Here is a 15,039-nt window from a genome sequence, read left to right as displayed (position 1 = left end):
GAGATCATGCCATTGCACTCCAGCCTGGGCAACAGAGTGAGACTCCGTCTCGAAAACAACAACAAAAATATCCCGCACACATTAAAGAAAAATTCATTCTCTGGCTGGGCGTGGTGGCTCACACCTGTAATCCCAGCACTTCGGGAGGCCAAGGCGGGCGGATCACCTGAGGTCAGGAGTTCAAGACCAGCCTGGCCAATGTGGCGAAACCCCATCTCTACTAAACACACACACACACACACACACACACACACACACACACACACACACACAAATTAGCCCGCATGGTGGTGTATGCCTGTAGTACCAGCTACTGAGGAGGCTGAGGTGGAGGATCACTTGAGCCCAGGAATTCGAGGCTGCAGTGAGTGATGATCATGCCACTGCACTCCAGCGTGGGCAACAGTGAGGCCATGTCTCTAAAAAATAAAAAAAGAGAGAGAAACAAGAGAGAGCTGGTTTCCCCCTCCTCTGCCATGTAAGCAACGTAATCAGGATGAAGCGCCTCACCAGGCACCGAATCTGTCAACACCCTGACTTTGAACTCCCTGGCCTCGAGAACTGAAAGACACTCTCTATGGGTTAAGCCACCCAGTGCATGGTATCTTGTTATAACTGCCCGAGCTGACTGAGACGGACGTTCAGGACAGAGAGCGTGAATGCATAGTGACACCAGCTGTGAGTCTTTCTCCAGGGACAGTCGGCAGCCGGCCCTAGGTGCAGAGCCGATGACAAGGACCCAGGCTCTCAGCAGGTCTTCCAAGCAGTGTGGTAGAAAGGCAGGCAGGGTGTGGGGAAGTGGAGCCAGGCCACCAGTCATGATGTCAAGACTGAGCCAGGAAGCAAAGGCAGGCAGAGAGATGGGGAGGAGAGGGAGCAGGAGGGGACTGGCCATCTCTGAGACAGAAGCGTGAGTAGTGGGTGGACTTGAGGGCAGGAGAGGACTGAAAGGGCAGAGGCCTGGGCGATGCAGCCAGAGAGGGAGATGCTGGTGTGGGGAGGTCTGGGCAGGGATGTTTTAGGTGATGGCAGAGTCTGGAGTGGGGATGGAGTAGAGGTGAAGGTGCTGAAATTGAGGTCAGAGGTTGTAATCTCAGCGTGTATGACTTGGGGCAAAGGAAAACTGTGTCCCAGGTGCCAGGTCAAGCCTCAGAGGCCTTGGCACCATGGAGCCCAGGAGCAAAGTCTGCAATGGGGATTTTTTTTTCTTTTTTTTGCGGTGGGGGAGACGGAGTCTCACTCTTGCCCAGGCTGGAGTGCAGTGGTGCGATCTCAGCTCACTGCAACCTCCGCCTCCCAGCGTCAAGCAATTCTGCCTCAACCTCCCAAGGAGCTGGGACTACAGGCGTGCACCACCACACCCGGCTAATTTTTGTATTTTTAGTTGAGACAGGGTTTTGCCATGTTGGCCAGCCTCGTCTCTAATTCCTGACCCCAAGTGATCCATCTGCCTTGGCCCCCAAAGTGCTGGGATTACAGGTGTGAGCCACCGCACCTGGCCTAGAGCCTAAAGTATCCACTTGTACATGTAGATGCCCCACGATGGAATGGCCACCCATCTCTGTGGCCTTTTCCCTTTGCCACAGGGACAAACCACACAGATGACAGGATCATGCTGGCTGTAGATACTCAGCAATGATTGATGATACCAGCGATTTTTCTTTTTTTCTTTTTTGTTTGTTTTGAGGTAGGGTCTCACTCTGTAACCAAGCTGGAGTGCAGTGGCCTTGAACTGTAAACTTGAACTCCCGGGCTCAAGCAATCCTCCCACCTCGGCCTCCCAAGTAGCTGGGACCACAGGCGTGTGCCACCACGCCCGGCTGAGAGAGGGCTCTTCATGTCTTCTGCCCTGACTCCCTTCCTCTGCCTCCCTTCCAGAATCCCAGGTTCCCAGGCAACCTGCAGATGAGTGACCGCCAGCTGGACGAGGCTGGAGAAAGTGACGTGAACAACTTGTAAGTGGCTCCTGCCCTGAGCCCAGGGAGGGAGAAAGCTTTTGTGAATGCTGACACTTCTCATAAGGGTCATGGAGGGCCTGATGGGGGGAGGCCGTGGCTGGGATGGGGACCAAAGCCCCTGGGTGACTTGGCCTTGGGGCTACTTATTTATTGGTGGTGCCTCATCCAGAACCCCTGCCTGGCTATTTCACACCCCAAAGCTTTCCTGTCTGTCTCGCTTTCTGCCCTCTGACTCCAACACTGGTACCTATCCTCTCCCTCTGTCACTGTCACTGTTTTTGTTTTTGTTTTTTGAGAGGCAGTCTTGCCCTGTTACCCAGGCTGGAGTGCAGTGACTTGATCTCGGCTTACTGCAGCCTCCACCTCCCAGGTTCAAGTGATTCTCCTGCCTCAGCCTCCCGAGTAGCTGGGATTACAGGCATGCGCCATCACACCCAGCTAATTTTTATATTTTTAGTAGAGATGGGGTTTCGCCGCGTTGGCCAGGCTGGTCTTGAACTCCTGACCTCAGGTGATCCGCCCACCTCGGCCTCCCAAAGTGCTGGGATTACAGGCGTGAGCCACCGCCCCCGACCTGTCGCTGTCACTGTTGACTTCACCAGGCTGCATGGCCATAATACCCACAAGGCTAAGACTTGGAGCTGGAGTTGTGTGTGTGTTTGCGCATGCACATGAGCATTGGAGACTGGAGTAGCGTAGAGCGTGGGGGAGGGGACAGGTAACAGACCGGCCTCAGGCTGTGGAGTGTAAGCTCTCTTTCCTCTTGGGTCCAGTTTCCAGTTAACAGTGGAGATGTTTGACTACCTGGAGTGTGAACTCAACCTCTTCCAAACAGGTGAGTCTCTTCCCTCCCGTCTAACCCAGGCTCTCATGGGAACTACCTAATTCCTAGTCCTCCTCTCCCTGCAAAGTGTGCAGCACAAGGGGTAGGAAAATGGAGACATTCACACCCCATCTCTGGTCTCTCCAACCCTCGTGCAGGGAGGGACTGAACCTCTTCAGTATTTTTCTTTTTAAGAGACAAGGTCTCGGCCGGGTGCAGTGGCTCGCACCTGTAATCCTAGCACTTTGGGAGGCTAAGGTGGGCCCATCACTTGAGGCCAGAAGTTCAAGACCAGCCTGGCCAACATGGTGAAACCCTGTCTCTACTAAAAATATAAAAATTAGCCGGGCATGGTGGCACATGCCTGTAATCCCAGTTACTTGGGAGGCTGAGGCAGGAGAATTGCTTGAACCCAGGAGGTCGAGGTTGCAGTGAGCCAAGATCATGCCATTGCACTCCAGCCTGAGTGATACAGCAAGACTTCATCTCAAAAGAAAAAAGAGAGAGAGAGAGAGAAGGTCTCACTCTGTCGCCCAGGCTGGATTGCAGTGGCATGTTACGGCTCACTGCAACCTCAAACTACTAGGCTCAAATGATCCTCCCACCTCAGCCTCCCAAGTAGCTGGGACTACAGGCACGCACCACCACATCTGGCTGATTTTTTATATTTTTTGCAGAGATAGGGGTCTCACTGTGTTGCCCAGGCTGTTCTTGAACTACCAGCCTCAAGGTGTCTTCCCAACTCAGCCTCCCAAAGTTCTGGGATTACAGGCGTGAGCTACCACACCTGGCCTCCTAGATATTTTCCAAGCGGGTGGTTTCACGTCTGAGCAGAAAGACCACACACTGCCCCTTCCTACTGGCCTCTCTCCTGAAGCGCAGGCCTCCAAAAGCCCAAAGACAGGTCTTACCTCTTTGCCAGCCACTGGACTGTAGCCATGGCCCTGGCCAGTCCTTGGTCCAGTCTTGTCTGCTACTCGGAACTGGGCTGGCTCATGGGCACGATTTCTACTGAGGAGGAAGGGCTCATGTCTGTTGTTGAGTTGGCAGCCATGGGAAACAAGCTGGTCAGGATTGGTTGTCACCCAGGACTGGTTGTCACCCAAGTCCACATGAGAAGCTCACACAGTCCTGTTCCACTAGCAGGGGGAGTGGCCACACTTCCAGGCTCCTGCCTGCCAAGAACTGTGGTGCCTCCAGACCATCAGCCCCTAATGCTTCCCTGACAAGCCTCAGCTGGTCCCCTTCTCTCCAGCGCGTCTCCTCCCCACATCTCCCAGCAGGCTCCCCTCCTTTCCCTGGGGGATGTAAGCACCAGCGTTCTGAGACTCAGGGCGTTCCATGACAAGCATCCAACTCTGAAAGACAACGTTCCACATTGCAGGTCTCCATACGCAAGCTTGGTGGTCTCATGCCCAAGCCTCGTGGCCTTCTCTGCATGTGGACAGGCAGGACCCACTCTTGGGGCTTGGACTCTCTGACCCCGAATTTCCTTCAGCTTCCTTCAGCTTGTTCATCTGTGCAGAAATGCCTACTACTGGCCTCTTTTCCAGAATATTCTGTTTTGTGTTGTACGATGGCTGGGACAGGGCAACAAATTCTGTAATACATTGACCAGTCTTCAGCACAGGATGTGGTCAGAAAAACACCAGAAACAGGCCAGGCACAGTGGCTCATGCCTGTAATCCTAGCACTTTGGAAGGCCAAGGGGGGCGGATCACCTGAAGTCAGGAGTTCAAGACCAGCCTGGGCAACATGGTGAAACCCTGTCTCTACTAAAAATACAAAAATTAGCCAGGTGTGGTGGTGAGCACCTGTAATCCCAACTACTCAGGAGGCTGAGGCAGGAGAATGGCTTGAACTCAGGAGGCGGAGTTTGCAGTGAGCCGAGATGCAGTGAGCAAGATTCTGTCTCAGAAAAAAGAAAGACCAACACCAGAAACAGCTGGAAACTGCGGTTTGTGCGAGAAAGGGACATTCAGCCGACTAGGAAGCTATTTGAGCAGGGTGTTATACAAAAGTCAGTAGAGAAATAAAAATAAAACGCAGAATCTAGTCTATGCCCTAAGCTATTCCCAGTCAGACTGAAAGCAGTGGTGTAGATGCATTTATTTTTTAAAAAATGCATTGGGGCCGGGCGCAGTGGCTCATGCCTGTAATTTCAGCACGTTGGGAGGCGAAGGCAGGTGGATCATGAGGTCAGGAGTTCAAGACCAGCCTGGCCAACATGGTGAAACGCCATCTCTATTGAAAATACAAAAATTAGCCAGGCGTGATTGATGGTGTGTGCCTGTAATCCCAGCTACTCAGATGGCTGAGGCAGGAGAATTGCTTGAACCCGGGAGGCAGAGGTTGCAGTGAGCCAACATCACACCACTGCACTCCAGCCCGGGTGACAGAGCAAGACTCCTTGAAAAAAAAAATGCTTTGGAAATGTTTGCATAAAAGTATATAAACAAGTATACATTGTTGTGGCTAACTTTTCATCATTTGGATTTTGGTGGGAACAACGTATGTGGATAATTCAGAATTCATTCGCATTTAGCTTTCACTTTTTTGTTGTTGTTTCTTTTGAGATAGTCTGGTTGTGTCACCCAAGCTGGAATGCAGTGGTGCGATTCCGGCTCACTGCAACCTCCGCTTCTGGGGCTCAAGCCATCCTCCTACCTCAGCCTCCCAAGTAGCTGGGACTACGGGCACGCACCACCATGCCCAGCTAATTTTTGTGTACTTTTTTTAGAGACAAGGCTTCATTATGTTGCCCAGGCTGGTCTCAAACTCCTGAGCTCAAGTGATGTGCCTGCCTTTTCCTCCCAAAGTGCTGGGATTATTGGCATGAGCCACCACGCCCAGCCTGCATTTAGCTTTGGAATGTGCTAGATCTGAATGCAGGCGTGAGTGAGATTCTTAGAATTGTCATCCTTGGGAAAGTGCAGCCTAGAAGTTGCAGTTCGGCTGACACAAGCTCTCTCCCCATGGCTCTCACCTCTTCTTGGAGCCGGCTGCCTGCCTGCCTCCCGCTGCTGTGGTGTTTAGGGATAAGCAAGACAAATGTTTCAACCTTTGGGTCATCCTTCCAGTTCCTGACAGACCGTGGACCATGAGTAAGCGGAGATGGTGATGAGGTCCAAAAGGACTTGGTTAGCTGAGAGAATGAGTAAGGGGTAGAGGTGGTGAGCTCAGCCATCTTTTTTGTGCCACATCTCATGACCCCTAGCTCTGGTTTTTTGTGTGTTTGTTTGTTTTGTTTTGAGAGAGTCTCGCTCTGTTGCCCAGACTGGAGTGCAGTGGCACCATCTCAGCTCGCTGCAACCTCCGCCTCCCAGGCTCAAGCAATTCTCCTGTCTCAGCCTCCTGAGTAGCTGGGATTACAGGTGTGTGCCACCACGCCCGGCTAATTTTTGTACTTTTAGTAGAGACAGGGTTTCACCATGTTGGCCAGGCTAGTCTCGAACTCCTGGCCTCAAGTGATCGGCCTGCCTTGGCCTCCCAAGGTGCTTGGATTATAGGCATGAGCCACCGTGCCCAGCCTGCTCTGGTTTTATATGCATTGTTCATTAATATTGTTACCACGAGATGCTGACCTACTCATCTCTAAATTCCCTCTGTTCTAGTCCAGTGCCTGGTGAATAGCAGGCCCTCAACCATAAAAGAATGCTTGCTTTTTGAAAAACAGCAGGCTACCAGGTGCAGTGGCTCATGCCTATAAACCCAGCACTTTAGGAAGCCAAGGTGGGAAGATTGCTTGAATCCAGGAGTTATAGTCGGGTAGCTCTGGTCCAGAAGACTCTAAGTAATTCACCCTAGAGTTTCCCAGAGCATGTAGCTGAAAGTTAACACTATGTAATGAATTCTATTCACCTATTTCATCATCACTGCTGTTTTTCTTTTCTCTCTCTCTCGTTTTTTTTTTTTTGGAGATGGGATCTCACTCTGTCGCCGAGGCTGGAGTACTGTGGCACAATCATAGCTCACTGCAGCCTTGACCTCCCTGGTCTCAAGGGATCCTCCCACCTCAGCCTCCTGAGTAGCTGGGACCAGGGATGTGTGCCATCACACCCAGCTAATTTTTTAATTTTTTGTAGAGATGGGGTCTTGCTATATGACCAGGCTGGTCTCGAACTCCTGAGCTCAAGTGATCCTTCCACCTCAGCCTCCCAAAGTGTTGGGATTATAGGCATGAGCCACCAACCCCAGCCTCCTGTGCTTTAAGAAGCACCCGCAGTGTGCACTGTCCAATAGGGCACTCACTAGCCCCATGTGATCATTGAACTTGATTACAATTAAATAACATTTAAAAGTCAGGTCCTCAGCTGCACTAGTCCTATTTCAGGCATATTTCAGAAAGCCACATATGGCTAATATATTAAAAAGTTTATATGAACATTTTCATCATTGTAGAATTCTATTGGATAGCACTATTGTGGGTGATTCTGATGTGTGCTAAAACTTGACAACCACTGAGCTTGGACATACAGTTTTCAACCCTGGATGCAGATTAGAATCTACCTGGGGCGTTTTTTTTGTTTTTGTTTTCTCTGAAACGGAGCCTTGCTCTGTCGTTCAGGCTGGAGTGCAGTGGTGGGATCTTGGCTCACTGCAGCCTCCAAGCAATTCTTGTGCCTCAGCCTCCTGAGTAGCTGGGACTACAGGTGCCCGCTACCACACCTGGCCAATTTTTGTATTTTTAGTAGAGATGGGGTTTCCCCATGTTGGCCAGGCTGGCCTCGAACTCTTGACCTCAAGCAGTCCTCCCACCTCAGCCTCCCAAAGTGCTGGGATTACAGGCATGAGCCACAGCACCTGGCCTAACGGGGGACAGCAGGGGAAGACTTTTGACACCCACTGACATCCCAACATACAGCAGACCAATTGAAACAGATGGTGGGGCGGTTCTGGGGGTTGCAGGAAGACTTTAGTGTTTCAGTTTCCCCAGGTGATCCTAACCAGTCTCAAAGCCAAAGTCAAGAACCACTGCACAATTCCATGCACTTTTCCCAGCATTCTCATTGAAGTCCTCTGAGACCCTTACGAGGTATGCACTGTTATAGCCACATGTGCTCAACAGAAGAGCATCAGGAGGCACAGAGTGACTGAGCAACTTGTCCGTGATGACACTGCTCTAGATGTTTCTGGATGCCAAAGGGCATTCCTGGAAGGTATCAGGAATCGGGGCCAGGCAGGGAAATGGAACAGCCCGTGGTTCCTGCCAGTTGGAGCCTGAGGAAGCCGGTAGACTTGGGGATGGCTGCCTTGCAGTGACAGCTGCTTTTAATTTGTGTCAAGAAGAAAAGCTGCCTTTTAATTAGAACAGTTCGGGATTTTTTTTTTTTTCAGCTGCCAGACTAACCCAGTTACCAGGGATTAGTGCAGTCGGGAAGCGGAATACAGGCAGTGCTAGGCTTCCCTCTGGGCCAGTTCCACTCACAGAGGGACCGCGGGGAGAGTCATTTCATTGCCCGCCGCGTGCAGAGTCTGCAGAGGCAGTGGGTGGCCAGTGCAAGAAAGAAAATCAGCCTGGCCAGTGGTGTGAGCTGAGTGTCTGCAGCCAGACGGCCAGTTGCTTGGTCTAGGATGGGGGGCAGGAGGTTAGTGTGGAGGGAGCCCCAGCGTGAGAAATTGAGGGAGCAACTTTGTCTCTGAAACTCAAGAGGGTGGAGGCAAGACTTCTATTTTTGTTGACAGGTGCCCCAAGTTTCAGCCCTGAACCCTGACATATCTTCCTTCTCCCAAGTCCTTTTTCTTATTTTTCTTGTTTTGTATTGTTTTGTTTTGGTTTGGTTTCTTTTGAGATGGAGTCTCACTCTGTCACCCAGGCTGGAGTGCAGTGGCACCGTCTCAGCTCACTGCAACCTCCACCTTCCAGGCTCAAGCGATTCTCCTGCCTCAGCCTCCCAAGTAGCTGGGTTTACAGGCACACGCCACCACACCCAGCTAATTTTTGTATTTTAGTAGAGACAGGGTTTTGCCATGTTGGCCAGGCTGGTCTCGAACTACTGACCTCAGGCGATCCACCCGCCTCGGCCTCCCAAAGTGCTGGGATTACAGGCATGAGCCACTGTGCCTGGCTTGTTTTGTTTTATTTATTTATGAAACAGAGTCTCACTCTGTCGCCCAGGCTGGAGTGCAGTGGTGGGATCTTGGCTCACTGCAGCCTCCACCTCCTGGGTTCAAGCGATTCTCCTGCCTCAGCTTCCCAAGTAGCTGGGATTACAGGCGTGAGCCATCACGCCTGGCTAATTTTTGTATTTTCAGTAGAGATAAGGTTTTGCCATGTTGCTCAGGCTGGTCTCAAACTCAGGCTCAGGCAGTCCCCCCACCTCGGCCTCACAAAGTGCTGGGATTACAGGCGTGAGCCACTGCACCTGGCTGAGACCCAGTCTCGTAAAGAGGAAAAAAATGAAGATGAGGCTCCTCCTCCATGTCCGCCATGGTAGGAGCTCTCCCAGGTTATGAGCAAATCTCTTCTTCCCTGAGCTATCAGGGGTCTCTGCACAGAGTAGCGCTTAGTTCACCCAGTCATGATGCACTGAATATTCTGACTCTCAAGAGCAAAGGCTCCTGGTCTAACCATCATTGGCCCCATCAGCTCTTGGGCTCTCCAACAAGTCTGTTAACTCACCACCTCTCAACAAAACCACTTTTTTTTTTTTTTTTTTGAGATGGTGTCTTACTCTTGTCACCCAGGCTGGAGTGCAGTGGTGCAATCTCGGCTCACTGCAACCTCTGCCTCCTGGGTTCAAGTGATTCTCCTGCCTCAGCCTCCCGAGTAGCTGGGATTACAGGCATGTGCCACCATGCCCAGCTAATTTTTGTATTTTTAGTAGAGACAGGGTTTTCCCATGTTGGAGAGGCTGGTCTCGAACTCCTGACCTCAGGCGATCCACCCGCCTCAGCCTCCTAAAGTGCTGGGATTACAGGCGTGAGCCACCACACCCTGCCAAAACCACTTTTTTTTTTTCGAGACTGAGTTTTGCTCTGTTGCTGGAGTGCAATAGCATGATCTTGGCTCACTGCAACCTCTGCCTCTCGGGTTCAAGCGATTCTCCTGCCTCAGCCTCCTGAGTAGCTGGGATTACAGGCATGCGCCACCATGCTCGGCTAACAAAACCACTTCCTGACTTTGTGAGAGCCTTCAAGTTACTAACCTTCTGTTTCTTCACCTGTTTAATGGGGATACGTTTACCTATCTCATGGGAGTGTTGTGAAGGTTAAATGAATTAGATGAGGTAAAGCACGCACAGAATCGGTCCTTGGTGTATGTTGGACCCCTGCCTCTGCCCCTCTGAAGAGGCTGCCTGTAATCCCCTGGCTCTACCACCTTTCTCCCTCACTTTTATTTCCTAGTATTCAACTCCCTGGACATGTCCCGCTCTGTGTCCGTGACGGCAGCAGGGCAGTGCCGCCTCGCCCCGCTGATCCAGGTCATCTTGGACTGCAGCCACCTTTATGACTACACTGTCAAGCTTCTCTTCAAACTCCACTCCTGTGAGTACCGCGGGCCAGATCTTCTTACATGAGATTCAGGCCAGAGGGAGGATCCCAGCCTGAGGATGTCCCCAGAGAAACGCAGTCCTTCTCAGTGCCTTTGGCTGTCTGCTTCTGTTCCAAAAGGCCCCGGAGCTTCTGACCATTGTGAGGATAAAAGAGCAGGGCCCAGGCTTTGGTGACCCCAGTAAAGCCCCTGGCTTGCCACTCTTGCGTCCCAGTGTTACAGGATCTTTGGGGTGTCCGTTTTCTGGCTGGAAACCTCTGGGGCCAGTGGTGCCTTTGCCCGAGTTCTTGTTCGGCATCCAGGAAGAATGAGGTATGCAGACAAGTGGAGGGTGGACAAGATGAAGAGGAGCTTTATTGAGTATTAGAACAGCTCAGAGGAGACTGCAGTGGGTACCGCTCTCTGTCTGTAGGCAGGTTGTCCTGTCGAGTGTTCAGCTCTCAGCAGAAAAGAGGCCATGGAGTGGGTAGCTCCTCTCTGCAGCTGATTATCCTAGCATCTCTGCAGGTCTCTGAAGCCTCAGCAGAGAGGGTAGCTCCTCTCTGTAGCTGGTCGTCCCATCTCTGCTCAGCTCTGGCTGAGCTCAGGCCTTTTATGGGCCTCAGAGGGGAGGAAATGCACCACGATTGGTCCATGGGCAGGCCCAGAAAGGGCACCCCAAGTTCCCACTCCGGTCTGTGGGATTGGCAGCCCGGCCCCCACCGGGGACCCGCCCTTTCACCCAGGAATCTGTCTGCCTCCCGCTGCCATGCATGGCAACAGGGCTCAGCCCCAACTTTGCTCTAAGATCAGAGTGGGTGCCGACAGCAGGGAGAAGCCAGGCAGCGGGAACAGGTTCAGAAGAGGGGAGGGAGAGCCTTCTCAGGCCCTGAAGAGTACAGGGATGCCTGAGTCTGCAGCTGGGGCTGGGGGCGGGTGCGGGGCAGCAGGGCTGCCACCCACTCCATGGAGTGGGAGGCCCAAGTCTGCAGCTGTGTTTTGGGTGGCTGCAGCTGCACCTGGGAAGGTAGGGTTCCTGCCTGCTCCGGACCCTCAAGAGCACAGGGAGGCTCAGATCTGCAGTCACAACTTGGGCGGCTACAGCCCCATCCAGCAGGGTGAGGCTTCTGCCTGTTCCATGGAGTGTGCAGCCCTGGCCATGCCTCCCTGCTGCAGCTGGCATGATGGCAGTGGCAGGCCATCTGGACTGGCAGCTGCCATCACCAGGATGGTCCTCTCTGTCTGCCTCTAGCTTGAGCACGTCACCATTCAACAAGTATGTCGTGCATCCTACGAACAGCACAAATATCAGCAGACCTGGCCTAGACCTACATGAGCTAACATAATGATTTCCAGACCATTTATCTACACAATCCCTTTGTGCAAATGGAATTTTATGGAGAAATATAAATTATAAAACACAGCTGCTCATTAAATGGAGACCTATCCCTTACCTAGCTTCAGTTCCCTGGGGTGCCCTTAGCAGAATATATATAGTTTGGAAGTTCTGGTCTTACAGAAGTTCTTACACTTTTTTTTTTTTTTTTTTCTGAGACAGAGTCTCACTCTCTCACCCAGGCTAGAGTGCAATGGCATGATCTCGGCTCACTGCAACCTCTGCCTACCAGGTTCAAGCAATTCTTGTGCCTTAGCCTCCCAAGTAGCTGGGACCACAGGTCTGTGCTGGCACACCCAGCTAATTTTTTGTTGTTGTTGTTTGAATTTTTAGTAGAGATGGGGTTTCCCCATGTTGGCCAGGCTGGTCTCGAACTCCTGGCCTCAAGTGATCCGCCCACCTCAGCCTCCTAAAGTGCTAGGATTACAGGTATGACCCACCACACCCGCCAGTTCTTATACTTTTGTGTCCTTCTGGTTTAAAATGATGTGTCTGGGGTGGGCACAGTGGTTCACGCATGGAATCCCATCACTTTGGGAGGCTGATGCAGGCAGATCGCTTGAGCTCAGGGGTTGGAGACCAGCCTGAGCAACATAGTGAAATCCCTGTCTGTACAAAAAATACAAAAATTAGCCAGGCATGGTGACATGCGCCTGTAGTCCCAGCTACCTGGGAGGCTAAGGCGAGAGGATCGCTTGAGCCCAGAAGGTCAAGGCTACAGTGAGCTGTGTTTGTGCCACTGCACTCCAGCCTGGGCAACAGAACGAGACCGTGCCTAAAAAAAATAAAATAAATAAAATAAAGTAGTATAAGACAGTATACTCTGTAACTGCGGTTATTGACAAGTAATGAATCTCTTTATTTAGACAGTACAAGGGAAGGGTGTAGCATCGCCTAGATGCTAACCTAGGATGGTTTTGTGGAAGGGAGATTGGAATTAGCTGCCCAGGGATTAGAAGGGCTTTGCGGCAAGTAGGCCTGCCTGAAGGGAGCTGAGAGGGTGGAGTGGGCCCCCAAGAGAAGGGACCAGCTGCTTAGAGTGCTGAATACAGATGAACTTTTCATTGTTTCCCCTGGAAACTTTTCATTGTTTCCAAGTATTCTGTTGCTCAGTAGAACATCACCACTGCCTTTTTGTAAAATGGGGAGTTAAGCTGGGCATGGTGGTGCACACCTGCAGTCCCAGTTACTCTGGAGGCTGAGGGAGTTATGAGAAGAGACAGGTATAAGTGTTTGGGTTTAAAGGCCTTCTTTGAAGGCAGGGCAATACCCAAGACCCACACTGCCTCTGGGCTGAGGAAGGGGTAGGAGGGATACTCTTTACAATACATAGTTTTTTAATTTACTTTATTTATTTATTTATTTTTCTGAAACAGGGTCTCGCTCTGTTGCCCAGGCTGGAGTGCAGTGGCACAATCTCATCCCACTGCAACCTCCATCTCCCAGGTTCAAGCAATTCTCCTACCTCAGCCTCCCAAGTAGCTGAGATTATAGGTGCCCGCCACCATGCCTGGCTAATTTTTGTATTGTTTTTAGTAGAGACAGGGTTTCATCCTGTTGGCCAGGCTTGTCTCGAACTCCTGAGCTCAAGTGATCCTCCTGCCTCGGCCTCCCAAAGTGCTGGGATTGCAATTGTGAGCCACTGCAGCTGGCCCTCTTTTCTAAAAATAAACATTTATTTTTGTTTTAGATCTACAGAAAAGTTATAAAAATAGTACCGAGAGTTCTCGTATACCCAGTTCCATTTTCCCTTTGTTCGTATATTAGTATGAAACATTTGCCACAACTGGCCGGGCACGGTGGCTCACGCCTGTAATCCCAGCACTTTGGGAGGCCGAGGTGGGCGGATCATGAGGTCAGGAGATCGAGACCATCCTGGCCAACATGGTGAAACCCTGTCTCTACTAAAAATACAAAAAATTAGCCGGGCGTGGTGGCGGGCGCCTGTAGTCCCAGCTGCTCAGGAGGCTGAGGCAGCAGAATGGTGTGAGCCCTGGAGGTGGAGCTTGCAGTGAGCCGAGATCGTGCCACTGCACTCCAGCCTGGGTGACAGAGCGAGACATCGTCTCGAAAAAAAAAAAAAAGAAACGTGTCACAACTAATTAACCAGTGTTGATACCTTATTATTAATTAAAGTTCGTACTTAAGGCAGGGCACGGTGACTCACACCTGTAATCCCAGCACTTTGGGAGGTCAAGGCAGGCGGATCACGAGGTCAAGAGATTGAAACCATCCTGGCCAACACGGCGAAACCCTGTATCTGCTAAAAATACAAAAATTAGCGGGGTGTGGTGGCGCGCGCCTGTAGTCCCAGCTGCTTGGGAGCTGAGGCAGGAGAATTGCTTGAACCCGGGAGGCGGAGGTTGTGGTGAGCTGAGATTGTGCCACTGCCCTCCAGCCTGGCAACAGAGTGAGATTCTGTCTCAAAAAAAAAAAAAAGTTCGTACTTTATTCAGATTGTCACAGTTTTTACCGAATGTCCTTTTCTGCCCCAGAATCTCACCCGGTACATGCATGTGACATTTAGTTGTGATGTCTCCTTAGGTTCCTCTTGGCTATGACGTTTCACTTCTCAAACTTCCCTTATTTTTGATGACTTTGACAGTTCTGAGTTTTTTGTAGAATGTTCCTGAATTCTGTTTGCCTGATGTTTTTCTCCTGATTTAACTGGGGTTAAGGGTTCTTGGGAGAAAGATCATTTAGGTCAAGTGCCATATTCATTCACTGTCCACTTCTGCCATTTTTGTTTTGTTTTGTTTTGTTTTGTTTCAAGACAGGGTCTCGCTCTGTCACCCAGGCTGGAGTGCAGTGGTGCGATTGTAGCTCACTGCAGCCTCAAACTCCTGGGCTTAAAAGATCCTCCCACCTCAACCTCTTGAGTAGCTAAGACTACAGTGCACATCACCACACCTGGCTAATTTTTATTTCTTAATTTTTGTAGAGATGGGGGTCTCACTATGTTGCCCAGGCTGGTCTCAAACTCCTGGGTACAAGCGATGCTCCCCACTCAGCCTCCCAAAGTGCTGGGATTACACATGGGAGCCACTGCGCCCAGCCATCTTTTGCCATTTCAATAATCATGTTTTATACATGTGTTCCCTGATTTTATCCAGTGAATGTATGACCCATTTCCAAATAACAAATTTAAATTTAAACAAATAAAGCAAACACTAAAAGGATTGCTGAGCTGTGATCTACAGCTGCAATATGCAGGTTCGCACATCTGAGAGGTTACAGAACCTCAGAGAACTGGCTCTGTAGGGGAGGAGGCTGTCCTAAGAGGTTACTGGTGTGTGCAGTGTCATAGAGTTAGCTACCAACCAAGCCGGGACTGGAACTCAGATCCCAAGCCTCAATCCCTTGTTCTTTTTTTTGACAGAGTCTCACT

At 51.0% G+C, this 15,039-nt stretch overlaps 1 protein-coding gene across 8 annotated transcripts in view; it reads left to right on the top strand.

Annotated features, from left to right (window-relative positions):
• The window catches only part of HIP1 (huntingtin interacting protein 1), a 205,644-nt gene that overhangs the window by 154,912 nt on the left and 35,693 nt on the right, over nucleotides 1-15,039 (top strand). For all 8 annotated transcript variants that reach the window (NM_001243198.3, XM_011516116.3, NM_005338.7 and 5 more), the window contains exons 6-8: nucleotides 1,879-1,955; nucleotides 2,732-2,793; nucleotides 10,129-10,269. In NM_001243198.3, the coding sequence (NP_001230127.1) occupies nucleotides 1,879-1,955; nucleotides 2,732-2,793; nucleotides 10,129-10,269 (280 nt within the window). The remainder of the gene's footprint in view (nucleotides 1-1,878; nucleotides 1,956-2,731; nucleotides 2,794-10,128; nucleotides 10,270-15,039) is intronic.

This window comes from Homo sapiens, chromosome 7, assembly GCF_000001405.40.
Source record: "Homo sapiens chromosome 7, GRCh38.p14 Primary Assembly".
NCBI classification, from domain to species: Eukaryota; Metazoa; Chordata; class Mammalia; order Primates; family Hominidae; genus Homo; species Homo sapiens.
This window is presented reverse-complemented; position numbering and strand designations above follow the sequence as displayed.